Source organism: Homo sapiens, chromosome 3 (assembly GCF_000001405.40).
Source record: "Homo sapiens chromosome 3, GRCh38.p14 Primary Assembly".
Lineage (NCBI taxonomy): Eukaryota > Metazoa > Chordata > Mammalia > Primates > Hominidae > Homo > Homo sapiens.
Genome location: NC_000003.12, coordinates 113,041,303 through 113,055,413, shown reverse-complemented (window position 1 = coordinate 113,055,413; position 14,111 = coordinate 113,041,303). Strand labels below are relative to the sequence as shown.

The window sequence follows — 14,111 nt, the reverse complement described above, 5'->3', positions numbered from 1 at the left end:
TATGAGGAGCTGCAGAAGTAGAAAGAGGAAGAAGTCTTTGCCTTCAAGGAGTACAATCTAACTTTAAGAGGAGACCATTGGGGATAAGACAGAAAGTTAGGAGAGTTAGAAAAGAAGATAAAAAAGCAAGGGCTCTCTCAGAAAGAAGAAACCACAGCATGTGTGTTGCATGTGTGTTTTGTGTGTGTGTGTGAGTGGTGTGTGTGCATGGTGTGTGTGTGTCCAGGACTGTGAAAAGTAGAGGTGGTGTTTGAGGAGGATTTTGACAGGGAGAAAGGAGAGCAGAACTTTCCAGGTGAAGAAAACAATTTCCACAGTGATGTAGAGATGGGAAAATACCATGCATATTTGGAAAAATAGTAATCCAGATTTGTGGGAACATAAGGTCTAGTGAGATCTAGTCTAACCAATTAATCTACATGATGAGAACTAAAATCCACATGTTTCTTTAGGAAATATAGTAAATGGTATAGCTTAGGACTTTGTCTTACACTTTAACAAAGCAGAGTGCTGTATATATTTATTTGTCAGATCACACACACACACACACACACACACTCTCTCTCTCTGTCTCTCTCTCTCTCACAGAGACATGCATGGACAGAAAACCATGCTGGGTAGTATAGTTACACAGACCTTGCTCTTGAGAAATAGCCTCTCGGGAGAAGGAGGGAAGGGTGAATAAATAATTGCAACATCATATGGTCAACACTATTAGTACAAGTAAAGATGTGTGCAATGCCCACAGCAGCCTAGAGGAGGGAAAGTTGGCATAGATTGTAAGGAAAGCTATGTAGGATAGCATTTGATTTAGGCCTTGGAGAATAAATACAAGTTTGTCAATGGAAAGGGGGAAAGCAGGGTGTTTTAGGTCAAGGGAACAGGAGTGAAAGGTGTGTGTGGTGTGGTGGGGGAGTGTGGGTAGAGCTTGAGAAAATGTGTTCATAGCAGGGAAAGTTGTCTTGTGGGACAGAGCAGTAGTCCTCAGTGCTGGTGATTTTGCCCCCCAATGGTTCTTCATGGGGGTGATTTTGCCCCCCAGGGTACATTTGACAATGCCTACAGACATTTTTAAATTGTCACACTCTTGCACGGGGAGGGTATGTTCTACTGGTATCCAGTGGATAGAGGCCAGAGATGCCACTAAATATCCTACAATGCACAGGATAGTTCCTACAACAAAGAATTCTCCCCTTCAAAATGTCAACAGTGCCAAGGTGCAGAAACCTCTGGCTAGAATGTAGTAGTCCCAGAAAGAAGCAGAAGGAAATAAGATTGGAAAGATAGATTGGTGTTAATTTGTAAAATGCCTTAAATGCCATATAATATACTGAAGGTTTCCAGAAAAGGTAAACATTGTATTTTCATTGATTTAATTAGTCTCATTCAATTAAACAATATTTGTTTATAGTATAATTCAATAAAAAGTGATAATGCTTATAGGTGACAAAAGAGAATTTTCTTTACAAAATTCTATAATTTTAAGCCTTGAGGTCATTTGAACAGAGACTTTCTAATGGAAAAGCATCTATTTGAATCCTTTCCCTGGTTAGTAGCTGGATTCCTCTGCCTCCGGCCACTCCTCCTGCCTCCACTCAAGGTATCATGGTTATTCATTGAAGCTTCTGGCTGAGTTGGCCCATAAAGCACAGGGCTGCTCAGGCGGACCTGGTCTCTTTAAGACTGTGACTAGGAACTCATCACTTGTTTAGAGTCACAGCTAGGTGTGGGTTCTCAGGAAAGACTGGCTGTGGTCCAGGACTAATACAAGATGTTTTGAACAGAAGTCTGGGGATCACTTTTTCTAAGCCTTATTTGTGTTGGAAAAGTTGAGTTCATATTATCATCACTTAATTGAGTCCTTTTTTCCCATACTCTTCCATTAGGAACCCCTGCGTCACCCCCTGAGTGGGGTATTAGACCCACTTTATAATGAAGAGGTTGATAATTGGCAGGAAGTTACTTAGGAAATACAGTGCCATCTAAGCCTATTTTCAACCTTTTGAACAAAGGTATCCGCCCAGAAATAATTTCCCAATGTGAAGGGGAGGAAGAAGATTATAGGGCACACCCTTCCTTCAGATTAAAGAAGGCTGCTTACTAAAGTTTGTACACTAGTGGTTCTCAAATCGTTAAGCTCAGGGAACATTTTCAAAATACTGGGATTTCTGATGGCACACTTAATGGGATTAAATGGAATCCACTGTGATTATCATACTACAATGGCATTCATACATTAAAGTTAAAAGGATACAACCTATGTGCCCAGAGAGAAAGAGAGGTTACAATTGAAAAAGTCAGACCATCCTCCCACCTTTCCACTCAGAAAGTGTATGCCCCATGGTAGGTTTGCCAGGTAAAATACAGGAGGCCAAGTTCATTTTGAATTTCAGATACATAATGAATATTTTTGAATATAAGTTTGTCCCATGCTAAACTCATTTATCGGAAATTCAAATGTAACTGAATACCTTGTATTTTTATTTGCTAAATCCAGCAACCCTCCTGAGAGAGCGTTAGATGGGAGTCTTCCATTCATTCCACCAGTATCTGTGCCCACACACTTCTCCTGGGTGAGCTTCTTGCTCCTTTAGATATGATTGTTGTTAACGATGCATACAACATGGCCCCTAAATCCAAGCCAACTACTTCAGCTAGTGTCAACCTAAAGAAATCACAATCTGTGTTAATGCTGGAGGGACTTACTGAGAGACGGTATGTTTGTCTCTGATATGGTACATTCCCTAAGTGTTTTTGTTATTTGGCAAACATTAATTGAGCATCAGAAATGTTCCGGGCACTTAGGATGGAACAAGAAACTAAACATTGCTGTTCTCATGGTGCCTACATACTTGTGGGAGGAGACTGTTCGATGCTCATTTTTATCCCAGAGTTGACCTGAGTTAGATGTGAGTTCATGTATCAGCTGCAACACACTTTAGGACCTTGTTATTTGAATACCTCTGCTTTCTGCCCTGATTATGTTTTCTCGTATATTCCTGAGGCAAAGTTCTTTCTATGCCAGCATCTCCCACAGTAGACCTTATGAAGATAGACAGCAATAAATACTGGTGTAAAAGATAAAGCTTTTAGGAACATGACTCTCTTAACTGAAAACTTTTTGTGTCTTGGCATGTGTGCATGTGCTTATGTGTGTTTGTGAGTATACAGATAATGCACAAATAATGGGTTTCCTGGAAATGTTGGTTGTACAGAGACTATCTTTCTTGATCATTTTTGTCCCCAAAGCAAGCACTTGAAAGAATTCAGTAACAACTTCTTGAGCAGAAAAGATGGCCTCTGCTCAGAGCTTGGTGCAGCAGCAGACACTGAAATGTGGCTTGGCTCTGTCTCTTGGCATAGTTCTAGGGTGTTATGTTCCACGAGAGGCCTTGGAGGGAGGAGGCACTGGTACCTTTTCAGAATCTCGTCAAATCAGGCACAGACTTGCTGGCAGCCACAGCAAAGGGATCTTACTGATCTTTGCCCAACTCTCAGGAGGTAACTGGCAAGACAGAAGAAAGCAAAACAAGCAACCAAATCCGAGGCCTTATAAATTTGACTTGGAAATTTTGTCTCAAGGCTGTCAAAGAGTAGAAATAATGATTTCATTTTCTCCAAGTCCCATTCTTGGGCATTTCGTATTTAACGCAGATAAAACACATTCGAGTACCTATCAACTTTTTTTCTTTCTTTTTTTTTTTTTAGTCTAGCCGTTCTCAGCATCAGGTGACTCTGCTCCTTGAAAATACATTTAAGTGATGCCATTCCTGTCCAAAACCACCACTGACTCCTTCTTCAGAGGGCAAGCCTTGAAATCATGTGCATTTGCCTGTGAGACGTTTCTCCGATTATCTGAAAATCTTCTGCCAGGGATAAGGCGATTTGTCTCCATTCTGTCTGAGGTTGCGGATCTTGGTTTGCAGAGGAGGGCTGCAACGTAGTAGGTTCCTCCACGTGGCTTCTCACTGAAGCCAGAATGACTCATTTAGAGAGTAATCTTGGTGCGGCCTCTTGCTGCCCTCTGGTGGAGAAAACGGGTATTGAACAAGCCATAACGACTGATCTCTGAGGCAAATGCTGTGAAGTGTCAGCGCAAAGGTCCACGGGGAATAATTACACTTCAAGCTATTATCTAAATGAACGGAGTTCATCTAAATGAATGGAGTTGGAACGGTTGTTCTATGAGAATCTGATTTCTCAGCAAGAGAAGTTTTAATTCCATCCCCTTTTTATTTCTGTTTGCTGCGAACTGGTTTCTCATTTCTCCACACTTGCTCTTCCTTTTCGTGAACAATCATTTTGTGTATTTTGAGATCATTATAAAATTCTTGTACGCTCATTTTAAAACATTTCCAGAAAGTGAAAGTCAGCATGTGACCCAGGAAAATTCTAATTCTTAAAACACTCAAGACTCTAAACTAGGGTTTAGACCTATATATTCAGATCTAATTCCAAACCAAAATTCATTTCAGAAGTTTAAATAAAACGTATTAGTCTTATGCCTTCTGAGTCTTTGATTCAAATGAGAGGCTTCTTTTTTTATTTTTTTATTTTATTATTATTATACTTTAAGTTTTAGGGTACATGTGCACAATGTGCAGGTTAGTTACATATGTATACATGTGCCATGCTGGTGTGCTGCACCCATTAACTCGTCATTTAGCATTAGGTATATCTCCTAATGCTATCCCTCCCTCTTTCCCCCACCCCACAACAGTCCCCAGAGTGTGATGTTCCCCTTCCTGTGTCCATGTGTTCTCATTGTTCAATTCCCACCTATGAGTGAGAACATGTGGTGCTTGGTTTTTTGTCCTTGTTGCGATAGTTTACTGAGAATGATTATTTCCAATTTCATCCATGTCCCTACAAAGGACATGAACTCATCATTTTTTATGGCTGCATAGTATTCCATGGTGTATATGTGCCACATTTTCTTAATCCATTCTATCCTTGTTGGACATTTGGGTTGGTTCCAAGTCTTTGCTATTGTGAATAGTGCCACAATAAACATACATGTGCACGTGTCTTTATAGCAGCATGATTTATAGTCCTTTGGGTATATACCCAGTAATGGGATGGCTGGGTCAAATGGTATTTCTAGTTCTAGATCCCTGAGGAATCGCCACACTGACTTCCACAATGGTTGAACTAGTTTACAGTCCCACCAACAGTGTAAAAGTGTTCCTATTTCTCCACATCCTCTCCAGCACCTGTTGTTTCCTGACTTTTTAATGATTGCCATTCTAACTGGTGTGAGATGGTATCTCATTGTGGTTTTCATTTGCATTTCTTTGATGGCCAGTGATGGTGAGCATTTTTTCATGTGTTTTTTTGGCTGCATAAATGTCTTCTTTTGAGAAGTGTCTGTTCATATCCTTTGCCCACTTTTTGATGGGGTTGTTTGTTTTTTTCTTGTAAATTTGTTTGAGTTCATTGTAGATTCTGGATATTAGCCCTTTGTCAGATGAGTAGGTTGCGAAAATTTTCTCCCATTTTGTAGGTTTCCTGTTCACTCTGATGGTAGTTTCTTTTGCTGTGCAGAAGCTCTTTAGTTTAATTAGACCCCATTCGTCAATTTTGGCTTTTGTTGCCATTGCTTTTGGTGTTTTAGACATGAAGTCCTTGCCCATGCCTATGTCCTGAATGGTAATGCCTGTTTGAAGATGACATGATTGTATATCTAGAAAACCCCATTGTCTCAGCCCAAAATCTCCTTAAGCTGATAAGCAACTTCAGCAAAGTCTCAGGATACAAAATCAATGTGCAAAAATCACAAGCATTCTTATACACCAATAACAGACAAACAGAGAGCCAAATCATGAGTGAACTCCCATTCACAATTGCTTCAAAGAGAATAAAATACCTAGGAATCCAACTTACATGGGATGTGAAGGACCTCTTCAAGGAGAACTACAAACCGCTGCTCAAGGAAATAAAAGAGGATACAAACAAATGGAAGAACATTCCATGCTCATGGGTAGGAAGAATCAATATCGTGAAAATGGCCATACTGCCCAAGGTAATTTATAGATTCAATGCCATCCCCATCAAGCTACCAATGACTTTCTTCACAGAATTGGAAAAAACTACTTTAAAGTTCATATGGAACCAAAAAAGAGCCCACATCGCCAAGTCAATCCTAAGCCAAAAGAACAAAGCTGGAGGCATCACACTACCTGACTTCAAACTATACTACAAGGCTACAGTAACCAAAACAGCATGGTACTGGTACCAAAACAGAGATATAGATCAATGGAACAGAACAGAGCCCTCAGAAATAACGCTGCGTATCTACAACTATCTGATCTTTGACAAACCTGAGAAAAACAAGCAATGGGGAAAGGATTCCCTATTTAATAAATGGTGCTGGGAAAACTGGCTAGCCATATGTAGAAAGCTGAAACTGGATCCTTTCCTTACACCTTATACAAAAATTAATTCAAGATGGATTAAAGACTTAAACGTTAGACCTAAAACCATAAAAACCCTAGGAGAGGCTGTCTTCTTAAGACTTTTGCATACAAGTTACATTTCAAGAGAATACGCTTATTTTTTAAGCTCTAAACATGAGAAAATTCTCAAAAAGTATATCCAGGTAGAAGCATGCAATTTTAATTAAAATCTACTACTACTCTTCTTAGAATCAAGGAAAAATTTTGGAGACTAGAATGAGATATTAACACATTATGCATCAGTGTATGACTGATCTTTCAAATGCGTTCCAGTGCCCTCTAGAGCTGTTGTGCTTTTTGAATTAAGAAATTCTTCTTTTTTTTAAAATTTTTATTTTTTTGAGATGGAATTTCGCTCTTTTTGCCCAGGCTGGAGTGCAATGGCATGATCTTGGCTCACCGCAACCTCTACCTCCCAGGTTCAAGCGATTCTCCTGCCTCAGCCTCCAGAGTAGCTGGAATTATAGGCATGCGCCATCACGCCTGGCTAATTTTTGTGTATTTTCAGTAGATATGGGGTTTCTCCATGTTGGTCAGGCTGGTCTCAAACTCCCGACCTCAGGTGATCTGCCTGCCTCGGCCTCCCAAAGTTCTGGGATTACAGGCGTGAGCCACTGCACTCAGTCTGAATTAAGAAATTCTTAATGCCAGGTTAGTGATAGGTTCCTATAGGAAGGATTTTTTATTCATGAGTTAATTCATTTGGTTTTTATTCAACAAGTATTCCCTGAGCACCCACATGCCAGCACTATGGAAGATGAATTCATCACCTGCATGAAGGTGCTTACAGAGCTGAGAGTAAATGTCTTGAGAACAAGGCAGACCATGGGCAGCTCACAAGAGAGGTAGAGGTAAAACGAGATCAGAATTCAGAGATGAGGGCTGGGTGCGGTGGCTCATGCCTGTAATCCTAGCACTTTGGGAGGCCGAGGCGGGTGGATCACTTGAGGCCAGGAGTTCGAGACCAGCCTGGCCAACAGGGTAAAACCCCATCTCTGCTAAAGATACAAAAATTAGCAGGGCATGGTAACACGTACCTGTAATCCCAGCTACTCAGGAGGCTGAGGCAGGAGAATCTCTTGAACCCGGGAGGCTGAGGTTGCAGTGAGCCAAGATCACACCACTGCACTCCAGCCTGGGCTACAGTGTGAGACTCGTCTCAAAAAAAAAAAAAAAAAAAAAAAAGAATTCAGAGATGAAAGAGATTACTTCCAGTTCCAGTTTTGAGAGCAGGTGAAACAAGGGACTTTTCTGAACTAGAAATTAAAGTGTGAACAAGATTTGGATGTAAAATCATTCTACATGGCAGAAATTTGGAAATTTCTTCCTTAGGTATAATTTTTCTTGGGAAAAGAAGCTATAGTCCCTCTCCCTCTCCCTCTCCCTCTCCCTCTCCGTCTCCCCACGGTCTCCCTCTCCCTCTCTTGCCACGGTCTTCCTCTGATGCCGAGCCGAAGCTGGACTGTACTGCTGCCATCTCGGCTCACTGCAACCTCCCTGCCTGATTCTCCTGCCTCAGCCTGCCGAGTGCCTGCGATTGCAGGCGCGCCGCCACGCCTGACTGGTTTTCGTATTTTTTTGGTGGAGATGGGGTTTCGCTGTGTTGGCCGGGCTGGTCTCCAGCTCCTAACCGCGAGTGATCCGCCAGCCTCGGCCTCCCGAGGTGCCGGGATGGCAGACGGAGTTGCGTTCACTCAGTGCTCAATGGTGCCCAGGCTGGAGTGCAGTGGCGTGATCTCGGCTCGCTACAACCTCCACCTCCCAGCTGCCTGCCTTGGCCCCCCAAAGTGCCGAGATTGCAGCCTCTGCCCGGCCGCCACCCCGTCTGGGAAGTGAGGAGCGTCTCTGCCTGGCCGCCCATCGTCTGGGATGTGAGGAGCCTCTCTGCCTGGCTGCCCAGTCTGGAAAGTGAGGTGCGTCTCTGCCCGGCCGCCATCCCATCTAGGAAGTGAGGAGCGTCTCTGCCCGGCCGCCCATCGTCTGAGATGTGGGGAGCGCCTCTGCCCTGCCGCCCCATCTGGGATGTGAGGAGCGTTTCTGCCCGGCCGCCCCGTCTGAGAAGTGAGGAGACCCTCTGCCTGGCAACCACCCCGTCTGAGAAGTGAGAAGCCCCTCCGCCCGGCAGCCACACCGTCTGAGAAGTGAGGAGCCCCTCCGCCCGGCAGCCACCCCGTCTGTGAAGTGAGGAGCGTCTCCGCCCGGCAGCCGCCCCGTCCGGAAGGGAGGTGGGGGGGTCAGCCCCCCGCCCGGCCAGCCGCCCCATCCGGGAGGGAGGTGGGGGGGGTCAGCCCCCCGCCCGGCCAGCAGCCCCGTCCAGGAGGTGAGGGGCGCCTCTGCCCGGCCGCCTCTACTGGGAAGAGAGGAGCCCCTCTGCCTGGCCAGCTGCCCCGTCCGGGAGGGAGGTGGGGGGGTCAGCCCCCCGCCCGGCCAGCAGCCCCGTCCGGGAGGGAGGTGGGGAGGTCAGCCCCCCGCCCGGCCAGCCGCCCCGTCCGGGAGGGAGGTTGGGGGGTCACCCCCCGCCCGGCCAGCCGCCCCATCCGGGAGGTGAGGGGTGCCTCTGCCTGGCTGCCCCTACTGGGAAGTGAGGAGCCCCTCTGCCCAGCCAGCAGCCCCGTCCGGGAGGGAGGTGGGGGGTCAGCCCCCCGCCCAGCCAGCCGCCCCGTCTGGGAGGGAGTTGGGGGGGTCAGCCCCCTGCCCGGCCAGCCGCCCCATCCGGGAGGTGAGGGGCGCCTCTGCCCGGCCGCCCCTACTGGGAAGTGAGGAGCCCCTCTGCCCGGCCGCCACCCCGTCTGGGAGGTGTACCCAACAGCTCATTGAGAACGGGCCATGATGACAATGGCGGTTTTGTGGAATAGAAAAGGGGGAAAGGTGGGGAAAAGATTGAGAAATCGGATGGTTGCCGAGTCTATGTAGAAAGAGGTAGACATGGGAGACTTTTCATTTTGTTCTGTACTAAGAAAAATTCTTCTGCCTTGGGATCCTGTTGATCTGTGACCTTACCCCCAACCCTGTGCTCTCTGAAACATGTGCTGTGTCCACTCAGGGTTGAATGGATTAAGGGTGGTGCAAGATGTGCTTTGTTAAACAGATACTTGAAGGCAGCATGCTCGTTAAGAGTCATCGCCACTCCCTAATCTCAAGTACCCAGGGACACAAACACTGCGAAAGGCCGCAGGGTCCTCTGCCTAGGAAAACCAGAGACCTTTGTTCACTTGTTTATCTGCTGACATTCCCTCCACTATTGTCCTGTGACCCTGCCAAATCCCCCTCTGCGAGAAACACCCAAGAATGATCAATTAAAAAAAAAAAAAAAAGAAGCTATAGACAGCTCCTAAATGCCATGTAAATGACTTTCTGTCTTTCAGGCGTCTTTTGAAATGTGAGAGTTCATAACATTTCAGATACTGTCAATTCTTGATTTACCTCTGCCCTTTACACATGAGATTTCTGCCTTTTTCCTCAAAATACTCTTCTCTCACCAAGCCAAAAACAGTAAAACAAGAGAGGAGGAATAACTGTTTTATTGGCTCTCCCTGTCACTATATTCTCCTTAAGTCACCAATGCTACTCATTTCATGTCATACTCCATTCGGGCTGCTACAACAAAAATACCATAAACTGGGTGGCTCATAAGCAACAAATATTTATTTCGTACAGTTCTGGAGGCTGGGAAGTCCAAGATCAAGCTGCCCACAGATTTGGTATCTGGGGAGGGTTCATTTCCTGCTTCATAGTTGGTGCCAGGGTTCATTTCCTGCTTCATAGTTGGTGCCTTCTCACTGTGTCCCCAAAAGGTGAAAGGGGCTAATGAGCTACCTTGGGTCTATCTTACAACGGCACCAATTCCATTCATGAGGGCTCTTACCTTTGTGACCTAGTTACCTCCCCAAAGGCCCACCTCCTAATATCATCACCTTGGAGGTTAGGATTTCAACGTAAGGATTTTGGAGGATATAATATTCAGATCACAGCTTTTGATGAATTTCTTTTTTTTTTTTGAGACGGAGTCTCACTCTGTTGCCCAGGCTGGAGTGCAGTGTTGTGATCTCAGCTTACTGCAACTTCTGCCTCCTGGGTTCAAGCAATTATCTTGCCTCAGCCTCCGAGTAGCTGGGATTACAGGCACGTGACACCATGCCCAGCTGATTTTTGTATTTTTAGTAGAGACGGGGGTTTCACCATGTTGGCCAGGCTGGTCTTGAACTCCTGACCTCAGGTGATCTGCCCACCTCAGCCTCCCAAAGTGCTGGGATTACAGGTGTGAGCCACCACACCTGGCTTGATGAATATTTATTGTGTACCTATTATATGCCAGATATACTGCTGGGTACTAAAAGTCAATAATTAGCAAGCATACATGGTCCTTTTTCTTAAAAAGCTTTTACTGGCTGTAGACAGCCAATTAAGCCATAGAATACAACCCTTAATGTATAATAAGAAGAGCAGTACACCACAAATATCAACCTAGCCTTTGGTATAAGGCAATCTGGATTGAAATCTGGGCTCTGTTGAATACTTGCCATGTGACCTTGGGCTACTTAACCTCTTTACACTCAGTTTTTGAAATAAATATATTCCTAGTTCACCTAATGGTCCCAGCAGGTGTTCCTGGTGTGCAATGGCTTTTCTCCAGGCCATAATTCCTTCTTGTGATTTTGCCATCCCCTAGGGCTTCATCCTCACAGCTGAAGGGGAAATAGAGAGTGTGAAAGAGGGACAGATGTTTTTTAAAACGCACTGGTCTGGAAATGGCATCCATTGGCTAGAACTCAGTCATTTGGCCAAATGTGGTTCAAGAAAGGCTAGAAAAAGTAGCTCAGCTGTGCACCCAGGAATAAGAGGAGAACATGGATCTTGCTGAACACCTAGAAGTATTTGACACAACCTTTGTAAGCCACGTTAAGTAGTTCAGATTTATCATGGAATTAATAAGCCAGTGAAAGCAAAGGAGTAAAATCATCATATTTTTCATTTTTGGAAAATCATTCTATCAGCAGTGAAAAGAATGGCTTGGGTGATTGATTAGATAACTGAGTGGGTAGTAATGTTATTCAGTGAGATACACGAAGAGGTGTGAGTTTTCAGGGAGGAGAGTGGGAGGTGAGTTCAACTGAAGACACATTGAATATGAGGTGCTTCAAGATCATCAGATATACAGAGATGTGCTCTAGTTACATACCCTGAAGTCTAAAGTTCAGGAAAGAAATCTGAAATAGAGGTATACCTTTGTGAATTTTCAACTTATAGATGGAGCTTTGGGAGTTTGTAAAACAAACAAACAAACAAACAAAAAAAACCAAAACAAAAAAACACCAATACAAAGGAAAGGACAGAGGAAGAGGAACCAGCAAAAGAAACTGAGCAGGAGCATCCTGTAGAGGGAAAAGTGGCCAAATATGCTGCCACACATGCCACAGGAAAAGATTATTTCAAGGAGGCAGTGGTCAACAATACCAAGCAAAACACTGACTTTTATAAAAAGGAGGTTGTGGGTGAATGTTCTGGTTATTCTGTGTATCCACCATTCTCCCCTCTTCCCTGTGTCCCTGAAGGCTGAGCTCTGTAGACTTTATCACTTAGGCTCCCTTGCCCTCTAGCTTTCAGCTGGGTTTGGCCAATGGAAAGCAATGACAGATGGGATGAATGAAACAGAGAGAGCAGAATATTTTTCCCCAGTTCCATACAGCTTTAGTGTCTTATCTTAGGCAGTAAGTCCACCACTCCTTGACATCAATTCCTACCAGGTGTCCTCTTCTCCCCGGTTCTCACTCTTACTGTTCTATTTCCTCCTCTTGTCTCTTTGGCCCTAGGAATGATAATGGCTTCCTACTGTCACTGCGCTTGGAGTGCCTCACGATTCCATTTTTGATGCCTTCATCCTGCCTATATCTCTGTAAGCAGCTTCTTCCCTTGAACCATGTGGGATGAATTCTGCTTTTTGCTGGTATGCTGACTGATCTTGTAATATTAGTATTTAGAAACTAAATTGCAATTGGTAGAAGGGTGAGTATTTGGTGAAGTAGGAGTTAGGCTTTCAAGGAGTTTGGCTGTGGAATTCATCATCTCTCTCTACTTTTCTGAAAGGAGAAAGGAAGGAGGAAAGGAAGGAAAGGGAGATAGGACAAGTGGAGAAACCTTGAGTGGAAAGAGTTTGTTTTTTCCAAGATGGAAGAGACCTGTTAATGTTTAAGTACTCATAGGAAAGACCCAATAGAAAGAATTTATTGTTGATGTAAGAAAGTAGGGGACTTATTAATTGCTTGAAGCTTATGAGAAGGCAGAAGGATTTGGGACACAGGATGCAAATGGGAGGATTTAACTTGGGTGAGGGGAGGGTCACCTTATCTGTTGTAAGTGAAAGAATGGAAGACAGGATGAGTGGGAGACAAGTAAGTTTGTAGGGTTGGTGTCAGAAAGTTGAGAGAGTTCTTATCTAAGGGTTCTGCTTTTTCTGGAATCCCAGAACATTCAGAGAGTAGAATTATTATAGAGTTGGGCATTTGCCTGGCAAATCTCATGGAAGTACAATGGGGCGAGGGAATTGAGAATGCTGGCAAGAAATGGACTGGGGACAAATAAAGATGAAGGTGGGGGTACTGATGAGAGAGAAAAGGGTGCTGGGGACTGGTGATTCAGTGCAGTTTAAGATCAGATTTATAGGGTGTAACTTGAGTAAGAAAGTTGGAAAATAGGAAACTATTGTCAGAAATGGAAATGTCTGAATTCATGATTTCAGAGAAGGAACAACTCTGATTGATGCTAAGATTTGGGATATGGCTGGAGAGTGCATGCCTGCAGTGAGGTCGATATGAAGGTTACTGGAGATGAGGACACTAAAGGAAGTGGGATGATGGAGGACTTGGGATGGAGAGGAACCAAAGTCTCTAAGATGGCTGCTTCCACAAGGGGAAAAGTACATGAGGAAAACATTTCTTCCCCATCCTAGGGGTCCCTGGCATCTTCCTAGTCATCCTAATGTAACATCCCATCACCTGTCTCCTTCAGGACCATGCCTGGTGGGAGCCCCTACCCCAGGCCTGGAAGCAGCTCCCTTCCACCTCCGTGCCCCCACCATGGCAAGGCTCATTGCTGAGGAAGTCCCGGCTCCCACTTTCCACATGGTGAGGAAACTGGTTCTAGTCAAGACAAGATCTGGACCATTGAAGTGAAAACACGGTGGAAAGAGGGACCAAAATGACCTTCCCCAAGCAAGGAAGGAGACCAAACCTCTAAAAACATTCCAGCTGACATCGTCTTTGTTTTAAAGGACAAGCCACATAGTATTTTTAAGAGAAATGGCTCTGATGTCATCTATCCTGCCAGGATCAGCATTTGGAAGGCTCTGTGTGGCTGCACAGTGAACATCCCACTCTGGACGGAAAGACCATACCCATCGTTTTCAAGGAAGTCATCAGGCCTGGCATGCAGTGAAAAGCCCCTGGAGAAGACTTCCCTCTCCCTAAAGTGCCCAAGAAATGTGGGGACTTCATTATTGAGTTTGAAGTGATCTTCCCCTAATGGATTCCCCAGATGTCAAGAACTGTACTTGAGCAGGTTCTTCCAATATAGCTACCTGCATTCCCCAAGGACTAACCAGGAAGCTTTCCAGAGCTCAAGGATTTCTGGACCGTTCTCCAGTTGACCATGAGAGGACAG

At 44.7% G+C, this 14,111-nt stretch overlaps 2 long non-coding RNA genes and 1 pseudogene across 13 annotated transcripts in view, besides 1 other annotated feature; 2 read left to right on the top strand and 1 right to left on the bottom strand.

Moving 5' to 3' along the window:
- The window catches only part of LOLI1 (lncRNA oncogene in liver cancer 1), a 53,508-nt gene extending 49,007 nt beyond the window's left edge, over window positions 1-4,501 (top strand). Inside the window, exon 3 of the long non-coding RNA NR_189285.1 lies at window positions 3,709-4,501. This is a non-coding gene — a long non-coding RNA (lncRNA oncogene in liver cancer 1). The remainder of the gene's footprint in view (window positions 1-3,708) is intronic.
- Window positions 1-14,111, bottom strand: part of NEPRO-AS1 (NEPRO antisense RNA 1) — a 164,860-nt gene that overhangs the window by 128,964 nt on the left and 21,785 nt on the right. The window lies entirely within an intron of this gene.
- Window positions 3,711-3,890: an enhancer, noted in NCBI's record as "active region_20248". NCBI's record gives its function as "activates an Ori minimal core promoter by ATAC-STARR-seq in GM12878 lymphoblastoid cells {active_cell/tissue: GM12878}" and the evidence as "EXISTENCE:reporter gene assay evidence [ECO:0000049][PMID:35858748]".
- On the top strand, window positions 13,600-14,024 carry DNAJB1P2 (DNAJB1 peudogene 2; annotated as a pseudogene).